This window comes from Homo sapiens, chromosome 22 (assembly GCF_000001405.40).
Source record: "Homo sapiens chromosome 22, GRCh38.p14 Primary Assembly".
Lineage (NCBI taxonomy): Eukaryota > Metazoa > Chordata > Mammalia > Primates > Hominidae > Homo > Homo sapiens.
In genome coordinates, this window is record NC_000022.11 from 40,710,944 (window position 1) to 40,725,421 (window position 14,478).

The 14,478-nt window shown below is 47.8% G+C and overlaps 7 annotated features.

Annotated features, from left to right (window-relative positions):
- Nucleotides 662–956: an enhancer, noted in NCBI's record as "tiled region #1401; HepG2 Activating non-DNase unmatched - State 1:Tss, and K562 Activating DNase unmatched - State 8:EnhW". NCBI's record gives its function as "activates a minimal TATA promoter and a strong SV40 promoter by Sharpr-MPRA in HepG2 and K562 cells {active_cell/tissue: HepG2 | K562}" and the evidence as "EXISTENCE:reporter gene assay evidence [ECO:0000049][PMID:27701403]".
- Nucleotides 770–889: a silencer, noted in NCBI's record as "silent region_13773". NCBI's record gives its function as "represses an Ori minimal core promoter by ATAC-STARR-seq in GM12878 lymphoblastoid cells {active_cell/tissue: GM12878}" and the evidence as "EXISTENCE:reporter gene assay evidence [ECO:0000049][PMID:35858748]".
- Nucleotides 980–1,496: an enhancer, noted in NCBI's record as "H3K27ac hESC enhancer chr22:41107927-41108443 (GRCh37/hg19 assembly coordinates)". NCBI's record gives its function as "activates a minimal SCP1, AML or CMV promoter by ChIP-STARR-seq in naive H9 embryonic stem cells {active_cell/tissue: H9 hESC(naive)}" and the evidence as "EXISTENCE:reporter gene assay evidence [ECO:0000049][PMID:30033119]".
- Nucleotides 2,460–3,335: an enhancer, noted in NCBI's record as "H3K27ac-H3K4me1 hESC enhancer chr22:41109407-41110282 (GRCh37/hg19 assembly coordinates)". NCBI's record gives its function as "activates a minimal SCP1, AML or CMV promoter by ChIP-STARR-seq in primed H9 embryonic stem cells {active_cell/tissue: H9 hESC(primed)}" and the evidence as "EXISTENCE:reporter gene assay evidence [ECO:0000049][PMID:30033119]".
- Nucleotides 3,336–4,210: an enhancer, noted in NCBI's record as "NANOG-H3K27ac-H3K4me1 hESC enhancer chr22:41110283-41111157 (GRCh37/hg19 assembly coordinates)". NCBI's record gives its function as "activates a minimal SCP1, AML or CMV promoter by ChIP-STARR-seq in naive H9 embryonic stem cells {active_cell/tissue: H9 hESC(naive)}" and the evidence as "EXISTENCE:reporter gene assay evidence [ECO:0000049][PMID:30033119]".
- Nucleotides 5,032–5,198: a silencer, noted in NCBI's record as "fragment chr22:41111979-41112145 (GRCh37/hg19 assembly coordinates)". NCBI's record gives its function as "represses an EF-1alpha promoter that drives an FKBP-Casp9 reporter gene in an ReSE screen in K562 erythroleukemia cells {active_cell/tissue: K562}" and the evidence as "EXISTENCE:reporter gene assay evidence [ECO:0000049][PMID:32094911]".
- Nucleotides 10,931–11,544: an enhancer, noted in NCBI's record as "H3K27ac hESC enhancer chr22:41117878-41118491 (GRCh37/hg19 assembly coordinates)". NCBI's record gives its function as "activates a minimal SCP1, AML or CMV promoter by ChIP-STARR-seq in primed H9 embryonic stem cells {active_cell/tissue: H9 hESC(primed)}" and the evidence as "EXISTENCE:reporter gene assay evidence [ECO:0000049][PMID:30033119]".

The following is a 14,478-nucleotide window of genomic DNA, read 5'->3' on the forward strand; positions in this document are numbered from 1 at the left end:
AGACCAGTATATGTGCAGACCTCACAACAGGAACTCAGCCATGAGGACTCACCGGGCAGGGAGTGTCAGCAGGGCACTCCAAAAGGCCCACATGGGGGCTGGGCACAGTGGCTCACGCCTGTAATGCCAGCACTTTAGGAGGCTGAGGCAGAAGGATCGCTTGAGCTCAGGAGTTCAAGACCAGCCTGGACAACATAGTGAGAGCCAACCCCTACAAACAAATTTTTTTTTTTTTTTTTAGACAGAGTTTTGCTCTTATTGCCCAGGCTGGAGTGTAATGGGGCAATCTTGGCTCACTGTAACCTTCGCCTTCTGGGTTCAAGCAATTCTCCTGCCTCAGCCTCCTGGGTAGCTAGGATTACAGGCATGCGCCACCACGCCCGGCTAATTTTTTATTTTTAGTAGAGATGGGGTTTCACCAGATTAGCCAGGCTAGTCTTGAACTGCTGACCTCAGGTGATCCACCCACCTCGGCCTCCCAAAGTGCTGGGATTACAGGCATGAGCCACCACACCCAGCCTCCAAAAAAAATTTTTTTTAATTAGCTGAATGTGAAAAAAAAATTAGCTGAATGTGGTGGCGTGTGGCGTGTGGCTGTGGTCCCAGCTACTTGGGAGGCTGAGGCAGGAGGATCACTTGAACCCAGGATACTGAGGTCACAGTGAGCTATGATCGTACTACTGCACTGTAGCCTGGGTGACAGAGCGAGACTCCATCTCAAACAAAACAGAACAAAAAAACCAAGTATTTACAGAGACATGAGTCATCGAGAGGCTATCTAAACCGAGATAAGCTGCAGTGCAGTGATGACAGTTTCTTTCCACTTCCCCGGAGGGGCTCATGGCTCAGCAGATCAGCTGCAGGAAAGAGAGAAACATCGTCTCTCCGTGCGCCTTTCCTTGTATATTAATCTGCGATCCTGCTACACATGCCACTGTCAGTCAGGCCATGCTACGAAGCCTGGGGAGAACAGGGCAAGATTTCCGAGGCCTGGCCGGAGGCAACAGGCACATAGAAAAGGGGTATGGGGTCCGGAAGGTGCAGAGTAAATGTGTGCGTGGGGCAAGATTCCCCCAGGGATGGCTACAGGCACAGTTGCCTCTAGGATGGGATGTAGAGAAATCAAATTCAAGGGTACAAGTAAATATCTTTATATACCCTGGGGGCGACAGAAGGAAGCTTTTTGTGGGAGAACCCAGAAAAGAGAGCTCAGAAGGAGAAAAGTCTCCTAAGCTGCTGGGTAGAGACGGGCTGTTTGAGGTTTTTTTTTTTTTTTTTGAGACAAAGTCTTGCTCTATCACCCAGGCTGGAGTGCAGTGGCACGATCTCTGCTCACTGCAATCTCTGCCTCCCAGGTTCAAGTGATTCTCTTGCCTCAGCCTCCCGAGTAGCTACAGTTACAGGAGTTGGCCGCCATACTCGGGTAATTTTTTTGTACTTTTAGTAGAGATGGGATTTCATCACATTAGCCAGGCTGGTCTCGAACTCCTGACCTCAAGTGATCCTTACACCCCGGCCTCCCAAAGTGTGAGAATTACAGGTATGAGCCACTGCGCCTGGCCTGGGCTGGTTGAGTTTAATACAAAAGTCAAGGATCCTTCTCCTCGGTTCACTTAGTCCTCCCCACGGCCCTCGGCGTTTGGCATTCTCTCTTTTTTTCTTTTTCTTTTTTTTTTTTTTTTTGAGACAGGGTCTTGCTCTGTTGCCCAGGCTGGATTGGAGTACAGTTCGTCATCATGGCTTACTACCTCCCCGGCTCAAGTGATCCTCCCACCTCGGCCTCCTGAGTAGCCAGGACCACAGGCATGTGCCACCATGTCTGGCTAATTTTGTTTATTTTTTTGTAGAGATGTGGTCTTGCCATGTTGCCCAGGCTGTCCTCGAACTCCTGGGCTCAAGGAGTTCCACCCACCTCAGTCTCCCAAAGTGCTGGGATTATAGGCGTGAGCCACCACCCCTGGCAGTCCTCAGCATTCTTCAAACAAAACTAGGGCTGGGCATGGTGGCTCATGCCTGTAATCCCAGCTCTTTGGGAGGCTGAGGTGGGAGGATCTCTTGAGCCCAGGAGTTCAAGACTAGCCTCGGCAACATAGTGAGACCCTGTCTTTACAAGAACAAAACACAAAACAACAGAGTCGCTGTTTTCCCTCAATTCTATAGCAAGGACGAAATCAGGGAGTCCACAGGGCGCATGGATTTGAACCTGGGTCTATCTGGCTCCGCACTATGCTTTCCCTGCTATATCCCACTACCTGATTGAAGGAGAGAGATGGGACTTCTGAGGACAAGGGAACCTTCAGGTGAGGCTGGAGGTCAAGTCCCTAAAGACTTCCTTGCTTAGGGGGAGATTTAATGATTGGCCGCCATCATCTCAAGAGAAGAGACGATCCCTCTCCTGCCTGGTTTGCTTGACCGAACAACCTCACTGTGGAAGGTAGTGGTGAAGGGACACCACCTTGAGATGAGGTGGACCTGGGTTCATATTCCTGCACTGAGATCTTAGGCAAAACACTTAAGCTTGTGGAGCCTTAGATTTCATTCTTATAAAAATGGGATAACAATTTCCACCTTACTAAGCCGTGAAAAGCATTACATGAAGGGGAATGTAAATTGTGTGCCTACCACAGAGCCCGATACAGAGAACAGGTGAAAAGAACTGAATTTAACTCTACCTACCCATCTGTCATCCCTCCTGCAGCTCTATTCCGATCGGCATTTTCTTTTTCTTTTTCTTTTTTTTTGAGATGGAGTCTTGCTCTTGTCGCGCAGACTGGAGTCAATGGCGCGATCTCGGCTCACTGCAACCTCTGCCTCCCAGGTTCAAGTGATTCTCCTGCCTCAGCCTCTTAAGTAGCTGGGATTACAGGCACCTGCCAAAGCCCAGCTAATTTCTGTATTTTTAGTAGAGACAGGGTTTTACCATGCTGGCCAGGCTGGTCTCAAACTCCTGACCTCAGGTGATCCGCCCGCCTCGGCCTCCCAAAGTGCTGGGATTACAGGCGTGAGCCACCAAGCCCCACCTCAATCAGCATTTTCAAGGTTAAATGCCCTGGAAGAAGCCAGGCGAAGTAACTTAAAACCTGAGCAGGTTTAAGAGTCTTGCTCAAGCAAGCTCACTGGGCCCTTGAACTTTGGTGTTTTTTTTTTTTTTTTTTTTTTTTTGTACAGACATGGCCTTATTATGTTGCTCAGGCTGGTCTTGAACTCCTGGCCTCAAGCGATCCTCCCACCTCTGCCTCTTGAAATTCTGGAATGACAGGCATGAGCCACCGCACCTGGCCAGAACTTTGGCATTCTTAAACAAAAATCTAGAAAAGCTTTTCTTGTAAAGGAAACAGAGCAGTCTCCATGGGGGCTTAGCCTGCCCGGCACCTCTGGGGAGTATCAGAAAAGGCAGCCCAAGTTGGTATGGCCCATGACATCAGTGTTATAGTCCAGACACTGGGTGCATTCTGTCCACCCACCACGGGACAGGGCTCGGCCAGGTCCGCACCTGTCGGGGGTACGTGCTCTCTCAGTGATGGCTGGCCACTGACAGAAACAGTGCACTGACCTCAGTAAAAGAATGCCAAAGTCTGTCTTTCTTTCTCAAGTAATGTGGAGGAAAAGGAGCTCCTGCCAGGTGCAGAAGAAAGAAGAAAACCCGTTCTTGGCAGCAGGGGGATCAGGTTGCCACAGCAACGAGCTTCTTCCAAGTCCACTCATTATGTGGCTTTTGAATTAGACTTCCTTCTGTACATCTCACTGCACTGATTCCCTCGTCTTCGGCCGGCTCATTTCCCGAGCTTCTCCTGGGGAAATCAACACAGAGGGGAGTCTGACCTCTCCTTTCAAGGCTTGGTCCTGCTTGTCCCTGGGATGACACAATATTTACTTGTTGGTTTACACTTGGAAGAACCTGATCGCCGTGCAGAATGAAGAGCCCCTCCTCCTCTGTGGGTGGGAGCGTTGACTGGTACAACTTCTTTGAGCAGCAATTTGGCCCAATACAAGTGCATACCCTTTGATCTCACGGTTCTGGGGCTTAACCCCGGCATGACAGCATTTTTGTATAATAACAGCAAAAAGCTGGAAACGACCTTCACATCACTGATGGGAGATGGGTTAAATATCAGCTAAGCCACCAGACAGCTGAAGGAATAATGAGCTAGAGCTTATGTACCCATATGGAAAGATGTACTGTTAAGTTAAAAAAAGCAAGTTGTTCAAACTCATAGAAACAGAAAGGGGAAGGGTGGTTGCCAGGGGCTCGGGGCAGGGAGGAATGGGGTTGTTTAATGGGTATAGAGTTTCAGCTTTGCAAGATGAAAAAATTCTGGAAATTGGTTGTACAACAATGTGACTATAACTACTGAATTCTAAACTTAAAAATGATTAAGGCCAGATGCAGTGGCTCACGCCTGTAATCCCAGCACTTTGGGAGGCTGAGGCGGGAGGATCACGAGGTCAGGAGATCAAGACCATCCTGGCCAACATGGTGAAACCCCTTCTCTACTAAAAATACAAAAATTGGCTGGGTGTGATGGCGGGCACCTGTAGTCCCAGCTACTTGGGAGGCTGAGGCAGGAGAATCGTTTGAACCCGGGAGGTGGAGGTGGAGGTTGCAGTGAGCCGAGATCGCACTACTGCACTCTAGCCTGGGACAGAGCGGGACTCTGTATCAAAAAAAAAAAAAAAATTAAGATGGTAACTTTTATGTTGTATGTTCTTTACCACATAAAAAAAGTCAAGTTGCAGAATGGAATTATACTTATTGCATTTGTGTGTGTGTGTTTTTTAAAAAGGGCTAAAACAAGTTTGTGAGGAGACAAAATAAGCTGTTGTCAGTGCTTACCTTTGCAGTTGAGGGGCATTAAAGGGGGAAAATATGTTACTTTTCATTTTTTTCCCTTCTAAGGAGCTTTTTTTTTTTTTTTTTTTGGATACAGAGTTTCACTCTTTCGCCTAGGCTGGAGTGCAGTGGCAGGATCTCGGCTCACTGTAACCTCTGCTTCCTGGGTTCAGGCAATTCTTGTGACTCAGCTCTCCAGTAGCTGGGACTACAGGCGCCGGCCACCACACCCGGCTAATTTTTGTATTTTTAGTAGAGACGGGGGTCTCACAATGTTGGCCAGGCTGGTCTTCAACTCCTGGCCTCAAGTGATCCGCCCGTCTAGGCCTCCCAAAGTATGGAGAGCTTTTTAAAAATATATAATTAATTTTGACAAGCCAATAAAGATAAGGAGATGAAATTACTATGCCTGATCTATAGAAAGTCAGCATTAATTCAGCAGATATTTACTGAGTATTAACTTACTATGTACGAGGCACAGTGCTAAGGACTGCAGATACAAGGGCAAGAGAGGCAGGATGGTTCTCTCCCTCCCAGATCTCACATTTTATGGGAAGACAGTCATTAAACTGGCGGACAGACAAATGAGCAATATGTACAGCTGGTGGTAAGAGCCCTGAAGGAAAGACACAGGTCTGCGACAGAAAACACTGGTAGGAGCTGGGCGCGATGGCTCACGCCTGTAATCCCAGCACTTTGGGAGTCCAAGGCAGGCGGATCACCTGAGGTCGGGAGTTCGACACCAGCCTGACCAACATGGAGAAACCCCATCTCTACTATAAATACAAAATTAGCCAGACATGGTGGCGCATGCCTGTAATCCCAGCTACTCAGGAGGCTGAGGCAGGAGAACCACTTGAATCTGCAAGGTGGAGGTTGCGGTGAGCCGAGGTTGCACCATTGTACTCCAGCCTGGGCAACAAAAGCAAAACTCCATCTAAAAAAAAAAAGAAAAGGAAACAAAATTTCAGGACCCTCTAAATTTATTTTGCCAAGGGAGAAGCCCTGGAGACTGAGTCACATAGCATGTTTGCAATTCTACTTCTTAGACCATAGATTAAGTCTCTTCCCATTGTTATTATTATTATTGTTATTATTATTATTTGAGACAGAGTCTTGCTCTGTTGCCCAGGCTGGAGTGCAGTGGTGTGATCACGGCTCACTGCAATATCCGCCTCCCAGGTTCAAGCAATTCTCCTGCCTCAGCCTCTTGAGTAGCTAGGATTACAGGTGTATGCCACTGTGCCTGTCTAATTTTATATTTTTGTTAGAGATAGGGTTTCACCAAGTTACCCAGGCTGGCCTTGAACTCCTGGCCTCAAGTGAGCCTCCTGCCTCAGCCTCCAAAAGTGCGGGGATTACAGGCATGAGCCACCGTGCCCAACTTATTTTAAATTTTTTGAGGAACCTCCATACTGCTTTCCATAGTGGCTGTACAAATTTAAATCCACTGTTAAACAGCAGTGTACAGGGCTTGCTTATCTCTACATCCTTACCAGTACTTGGTATCTTTTGTTTTTTGATGATAGCCATTCCAACACACATGAGATGATAGCTCATTGTGGTTTTGATTTGCATTTTCTTGATGGTTAGTGATACTGAACACTTTTTAATTTACCTGTTAGCTATTGGTAAGTCTTCTTTTCAGGAATGCCTGCTCAGGTCCTTTGCCTGTTTTTAAATCAGGTTATTTGTTTAATTACTACTGAGTTGTTTGAGTTCCTTATATATTATGGTTATTAATCCTTTATCAGATGTATGGTTTGCAAATATTTTCTCCCATTCCATAGGTTGTCTCTTCACCCCGTTCATCTTTTTTTGTTGTTTTGGTCGTTTTTTGTTTTGTTTTTGAGACAGTGTCTCACTCTGTCACCCAGGCTGGAATACAATAGCTTGATCTTGGCTCACTGCAACCTCTGCCTCCTGGGCTCAGTTGATCCTCCCACCTCAGCCTACCGAATAGCTGGGATTACAGTCATGCACTACCATGCCTGGCTAATTTTTGTATTTTTGTTTTATTTATTTATTTATTTATTTATTTGAGACGAAGTCTCACTCTGTTGCCCAGGCAGGAGTGCAGTGGTACGATCTTGGCTCACTGCCACCTCTGCCTCCCAGGTTCAAGTGATTCTTCTGCCTCAGGCTCCCAAGGAGCTGGGATTGCAGGTGCCCACCACCATGCCTGGCTAGTTTTTGTATTTTTAGTAGAGACGAGGTTTCACCATGTTGGCCAGGCTGGTCTTGAACTCCTGACCTCAAGTGATCTGCCCGCCTTGGTCTCCCAAAGTGCTGGGATTACAGGCATGAGCCACCGTGCCTGGCCCCATTCACCTATTTTTTTTTCTTGAGCTTTGGGATCATATATTAAAAAAAAAAAAAATCATTGCCCAGACCAATGTCAAGAAGCTTTTCCCCTATGTTTTCTTCTAGTTTCACATCTTATGTTAAAGTCCTTAATCCATTTTCAGTTGATTTTTATATAAGATGTGAGACAAGGCTCCAATTTAATTCTTCTGCAGGTGAATATTTTGTTTTCCCAACCTGCGTATTGAAGAGTCTGTCCTTTCCCCATTGTGGGTTCTTGGCCCATTCGCAGATTAGTCGAGTGTAAGAGACCTAAAAAAAGAAGCCCCCAGGCAGCTTGAGACATGAAAGCAGAAAAGAGCAGGTGAGGAAGTGACATCTCTGGCTCAGGCCACCAAAAGGAAGAGGAGGTCACCCAGCTCTTCACGCCACAAGCTCACCACTTCTCAGGGGTATCTCATGGCTCCAGTGCTAAAAGAAGAGACAATTTTTATCACCTAATATATATCAAGAACTATGTTAAGTGCTGAGATATGAGAAGGAAGAATCACTGGCAGGCAATCAGGGGAGACAAACACATAAACAGAGCATTGTAACCCAAGCCCAAGCTTCCAGGTGCATGGTTGGAGCAACCACCCAGAGTGCTAAGAAGGGCCCTGATGGGGAGAAGGGGAGGGTAGGATTACAGAGAATCAGCCTCTGTAGAGCTCACCCCCCAAGTCAAGCTAGGATCAGTGGCTCGGATACCAGTAACAATGATTTACCTTTAAATGTGTGTCTGCTGGGTGTCACTTTGCAGACCTGTCATAGTGCCTAAGGGCACAGACTTTGGGACTGGATAACTTGGGTTCAAATCCTAGCTCTGTGACCAGCTGTGTGAACTCCTGCAAATTACTCATATGCTATCTGAGCCTCAGTTTCTTCCTCTGAGAAATGGGGATAATGATACCTAAGGGTGTTGCAAGGATTAAATGAGTTATCATATGTAAAGTGCTTAGAATGATGACTGGCATGTATTAAGACCTTTTTGATTATTATTATTATTTTTTTGGAGATGGAGTCTCGCTCTGTCACCCAGGCTGGAGTGCAGGGGTGCAACCTCGGCTCCCGCAACCTCTGCCTTCCGGGTTCAAGTGATTCTCCTGCCTCAGCTTCCTGAGTAGCTGGGATTACAGGTGCCTGCCACCACACCCGGCTACTTTTTGTATTTTTAGTAGAGATGGGGTTTCATCATGTTGGCCAGCCTGGTCTCGAACTCCTGAACTCAGATGATTCACCTGCCTCGGCCTCCCAAAGTACTGGGATTACAGGCATGAGGCACCGTGCCCGGCTGCTTTTTTCTTTCTTTCTTTCTTTCTTTCTTTCTTTTTTTTTTGCTGGGAACCCTTTCTCCATAAATCCCTTGCACAGGGATCTCTGACTCAGGTTCTGCTTCTATATGGCTGACGACAACACGTCATCTGCTTTCTTTCTTTATAAAATCATGGGATGTAAAGGGTCCCTCCATGCAGGAGTCTGGCTTCCTCCTGGGTAGGAGTCTACTCCATTTTTGAAGCTTTCCAAGCAGCATCCCCCTTCTCCACGTGACTGTGGACAACTATGTTACCATGTGCGCAGGAGGGCTCCAGAGAGCAGGTGAGTACGGATGCTGCGATCCCAGCATCCCAAGTAGCTCTGTCCATGTCATGGCTGCAGGGCGACATCAACGGGAAAACCACAGGCTCAGCAGGCCAAAGTCTGAATCCCACCTGTATTTGTTTTCCAGGGCTGCAGTAACAAAGTATCACAAACTGAGTTACTTAAAATGACAGAAATGTGTTGCCTCAGAGTTCTGGAGGCTGGAAGTCCAAAATGAAGGTGTTGGCAGTGTCATGCTCCCCCCAAAACCTGTAGGGAAGGAAGATCCTTCCTTCAATCTCCAGCTTCTCGTGTTTGCCAGTGATCCTGGCTTCCCTAGCAAGTAGGAATTGCATCGCTGCTATCTCTGCCTCCACTGTCGCATAGCTATCTGCCCCTGTGTGTCTCCTCTCTTCTCTTCTTCCTTCCTCCTCCTTCTCCTTCTAGACAGGGTCTCACTCTGTCACCCAGGCTGGAGTGCAGTGTCGCGATCAAGGCTCACTGCAGCCTCCACTTCCCAGGCTTAAGTGATCCTCTCACCTCAGCCTCTCAAGTAGCTGGGACTACAGAAGTGTGCCACCACACTCAACTTATTTTAAAATTTTTTGTAGAGGCAGGATCTCACTATGTTGCCCAGGCTGGTTCGAGCTCCTGGGCTCAAACAATCCTCCCACCTTGGCCTCCAGAAGTGCTGGGAGTACAGATGTGAGCCACTGCCTGGCCTCACACTTCTTTTTTTTTTTTTTTTTTTTTTTGAGATGGAGTTTTTCTCTTGTTGCCCAGGCTGGAGTGCAATGGTGAGATCTCGGCTCACTGCAACCTCCGCCTCCCGGTTCAAGCAATTCTTCTGCCTCAGCCTCCCAAGTAGCTGGGATTACAGTTATGCACCACCATACCCAGCTAATTTTTCCTTTTTTTTTTTTTTAGTAGAGATGGGGTTTCACCACGTTGGTCAGGCTGGTCTCAAACTCCTGACCTCAGGTGATCCACCTGCCTCAGCCTTCCAAAGTGCTGGGATTACAGGCACACGCCACCGTGCCCAGCCGGCCTCCCACTTCTTATAAGGACATAAATCATCTTTGATTAAAGGCTCCACTCACTCCAGTATGATCTCATCTTAACTAACTGCATCTGCAATGACCCCGTTTCCAAATAAGGTTATAGTCTAAGACTTCAGCATATCTTTTTTTAGGGGACAGAATTCAACCCATATCAGCATCTCTGCCATTAGTTAGCAGTGGGATGCCTCAAGTCATGCAACCTCTGCTTCAGGTTTTTCAGCTGTAGGAATGAGAATACCAGCGTGATACGGCTAGGAAGTGGAACACGTGGGATCATGAACTTTCCACTGCGGTACTTGGCCCATGGAGCTAGATATGCACATCAACAGTGACGCTCTCCTCAGCAGCATTCTCCTGGGTGCCCAAAGGCTATTAATACAGCCCCCTCATCCTTCCCCCACCCCACCAAGCTGCCCCCACACTGACTGCCCTGTAGGAGAGCTTAGCTCTTCCCTAGAGATCTAGTTTTTATTAATAAAAGACAACCGGAGCCTTTCAGAAGGTTAGGCTTAAGGGTCCATTATTTAAGTGCCATTGCCTGTGATGAGTCTTTGAGTAATAGGAGTGCTAAGTGCATACTGGGCAGGACGACCCGGGTGAGTCGAACATGCAGAAAAGATTCAACACACAGCCCTTTCTGACCTCACAGTGACTTTGCACTAAGTGCAAATCAATCTTCCCGAGGCAATTTCCTGTTGCCAGGACAGAGCTGTCTCCCCTCTTCTCGCCCTCCTGCTGCTGTGCTCCTGCTTCATGCTGGCTCCGACAAAGGGGTGAGTGTTCAACATTTCTCTTAATTGATGCTGTGACAGGTCTTTTGCTGACATATCCTGGCATCTGTCTGCCTTATTCACTGCAGCACAGCATCAATCTGAAACTGTCAGCTGTTTCCAGAATAATAGGATCTCTTCCAGATCTAAGCCTCAAAGCTTGCATTGATTTTATTCATTCTAGGATGTCAGTAGGTTATTTCAATTATTATTATTTTTTTATTTTTGAGACAGAGTCTTGCTCTGTCACCCAGGTTGGAGTGCAGTGACATGATCTTGGCTCACTGCATCCTCCGCCTCCTGAGTTCAAGCAATTCTCCTGCCTCAGCCTCCCACATAGCTGGGATTACAAGCATGCACCACCATGCCCGGCTAACTTTTGTACTTTTAGTAGAGACAGGGTTTTGCCATGTTGGTCAGGCTGGTCTCGAACTCTTAACCTCAAGTGATCTGCCTGCCTCGGCCTCCCAAAATGCTGGCGTTACAGGCATGACCCACCATGCCCAGCCTACAGTAGGTCATTTCAATTGGCTGTCCTCACCCACTCTCACCCCAAGCTCTCCCAAACTAAGGCAATGAAAATTATTTGAACTTGGAAATCGTCCCCTCACCTTGCTGATGCTTCTCTTCAGTATTCAGTGCTTCTCAAATTTCAAAGTGCAAACAAGGCCGGGAGCAGTGGCTCACACCTGTAATCCCAGCATTTTGCGAGGCCAAGGCAGGTGGATCACCTGAGGTCAGGAGTTGAAGACCATCCTGACCAACATAGAGAAACCCTGTCTCTACTAAAAATACAAAATTAGCCGGGCGTGGTGGCGCACGCCTGGAATCCCAGCTACTCGGGAGGCTGAGGCAGGAGAATTGCTTGAACCCAGGAGGAGGAGTTTGTGGTAAGCCAAGATCGTGCCATTGCACTCCAGCCTGGGCAACAAAAGCGAAAAACTCCGTCTCAAAAAAAAAAAAAAAAACTAAATAAATAAAGTGCAAGCAAATCACTTGGGACCTTGTTAAATGCAAATTAAAATTCTTTTTTTTTTTCTTTTTTGAGACTGGGTCTCTCTATTGCCCAGGCTGGAGTGCAGTGGCACAATCATAGCTCATTGCAGCCTCCACCTCTTGTGGCTCAGTTGATCGTCCCACCTCAGCCTCCTGAGTAGCTGGGACTATAGGCATGCACCACCATGCCCAGCTAATTTTTGCATTTTTTTGTAGAGATGAGGTTTCACTACATTGCCCAAGCTGGTCTCGAACTCTTCCTGCCTCGGTCTCCCAAAGTGCTGGGATGACAGAAGTGAGCCACCGCGCCTGGCCAGATTTTGCCTTCCTAACAAGCCCTCGTGTGCTGCTGAAGCTGGGGATCCACAGGTCTCACCTTGCATGGCCACACCTACCTGTTTCCTCTCCTCAAAGTTGACAGATGTGCCAGGGATGTGACAGGTAATGTGACCAAGGTTTGCCTTGGTGCTAGAGGAGCCGGAGGGGGCGACCACCTAACTGCCCAGGGGAGGTAAAGGAGACCTCCCTGAAAGGTAAGCCACTGGGAACAGGGCCAGGACAATCTGTGCTTCTAGAAAAATCACTCTGGGGTTGGGCACGGTGGCTTATGCCTGTAATCCCTGCACTTAGGGAGGCCAATGAGGGTGGATCACCTGAGGTCAGGAGTTCGAGACCAGCCTGGCCAACATGGTGGAACCCTGTCTCTACTAAAAATACAAAAATTAGTTGGTCATGGTGGCATGACCCCGTAATCCCAGCTACTTGGGAGGCTGAGGCAGGAAAATTGATTGAACCTGGCGGGTGGAGGTTGCGGTCAGCCAAGATCATGCCACTGCACTCCAACCTGGGCAACAAGAGCGAAACTCTGTCTCAAAAAAAAAAAAAAAAAAAAAAGATCCCTCTGGGAATGGCCTGCTGTGTGGAGAAGTGTGGAGAAGGAAAGGAGGACCTGGACTGCAGGTGGAGGAGGACCAAGGAGGCTCTTGTAATATCAAGATCAAGCGTGATAAGGTCTGAAGTGGGACAGTGGGACAGAGGCGGTGGGGCTGGAGAAGAGGGTAGGGCCAGGGAGGCTTCGTGTGGGAGGTGGAACAGAGGGGTAGTCGGTTGTGGGAGGTGTTGGAGGAGGCAAACCTCACCCCTAGACCTCTAGGTCTGAAAGGTGTGAATGAGAAATAGCCTTCCAAGAGCGATACCAGGGGGCGGTGTTCCAAGGGAAGAATGAGGACCAGGAGAGAGCATTCAGGGAGTAGAATGAGGAATGAGGTTTGCCATTGAAAGGGATTCCAATGAGAAGGGTTCAGAAGAGGCTCCGGGCGAGAGGGAGGTGGAAAACGATGCAATGGGCAGCATTCGGAGCGGGGGCCCTGGCGTGCAGGAGCACCTGGGGCTCCTGGCAACATGACGTTGATATGACGGTAACCATTTTTTTTTTTTTTTGGTATGCAATGGTAGGAATCTTTTTTATGTATACTTACTTCACGAATTGCCCCGAAAGCTCTTAGGTGAGGGCCACAGGTAGGCCTTCCTCTTTTAGGAAACCTAATATTGTATAAATCAGTGTAGCCTGGCCGGCGGTTCATCCCATGGCAGCAGCTAGCAACAGACAGGCGGTGTCCAGGACACTCACCATATGTTAAAAAGCAACAGCCTGGGTAATCATAGGCACAGAGTAAAGATTTTTTTAAAATTTAAAATCAATAAGAATTTTATAATTAAAAAAAAAAAAAGTGGCCGGGCACCAGTGGCTCATGCCTGTAATCCCAGCGCTTTGGGCTGCCGAGACGGGTGGATCACCTGAGGTCAGGAGTTCGAGACCAGCCTGGTCACCATGGTGAAACCCCATTTCTACTGAAAATACAAAAATTAGCTGGGTTTGGTGGCGGGTGCCTGTAACCTCCACTCACTGCAACCTCCGCCTCCTGGGCTCAAGCAATCCTCCTACCTCAGCCTCCCGAGTAGCTGGAATTACAGGTGCGCACCACCACACTCAGCTAATTTTTCTATTTTTAGTAGAGACAGGTTTTGCCAAGTTGCCCAGGCTGGTCTCAAACTCCTGACCTCATGTGATCTACCTGCCTCGACCTCCCATAATCTCTCATTAACCTTTAAGCCTTTCTTCTATAAGCATTTAAGGCCATACCTTTCCCTTTAAGTATGACCTTAAGGCATCTCACAAGTTTTGATATGAGGCATGTTCATTATCACTTAATTCTAAATAATTTAAATATCCATCATGATTTCTCCTTCCACCCATGAGTTATTGAGAGAAGTGTTTCTAAAGTCTCAAGCATGTTTTTTTTTTTTGTTTTTTTTTTTTGAGACGGAGTCTTGCACTGTCACCCAGGCTGGAAATGCAGTGGCACGATCTCGGCTCACTGTAACCTCTGCCTCCGGGGTTCAAGCGATTCTCCTGCTTCAGCCTCCCAAGTAGCTGGGATTACAGGCGCCTGCCACCACGCCCAGCTAATTTTTTGTATTTTTAGTAGAGATGGGGTTTCACCATGTTGGTAAGGCTGGTCTTGAACTCCTGACCTCAGGTGATCCACCCGCCTCAGCCTCCCAAAGTGCTGGGATTACAGGTGTCAGCGATGGCACCCGGCCCAAACTGAGATTTTTTATATGCTGGATTTGGTTGAAGACTTCACTTCAACCCTCATGTTTTTGCCCTAATGTTTGCATCTTTTGGTCCCCTTTCTTCTGCCACCCTCATCTTCCTTCTCCTTTAGTTTTCTCGCCCTTTCCTTCCCCCATCCTTAACTTGCCATCTGCGCCATGGAAAGGGCTCAGTCCAGGTGAAGCAATGGCTGGCCCCTGGCCCTGAGGCTTCGGTGAGATTCGGACCAGGTGTCACCATGAAGCCTTTCATTGTTGCATCTTGAAAACTGACCCAATCACA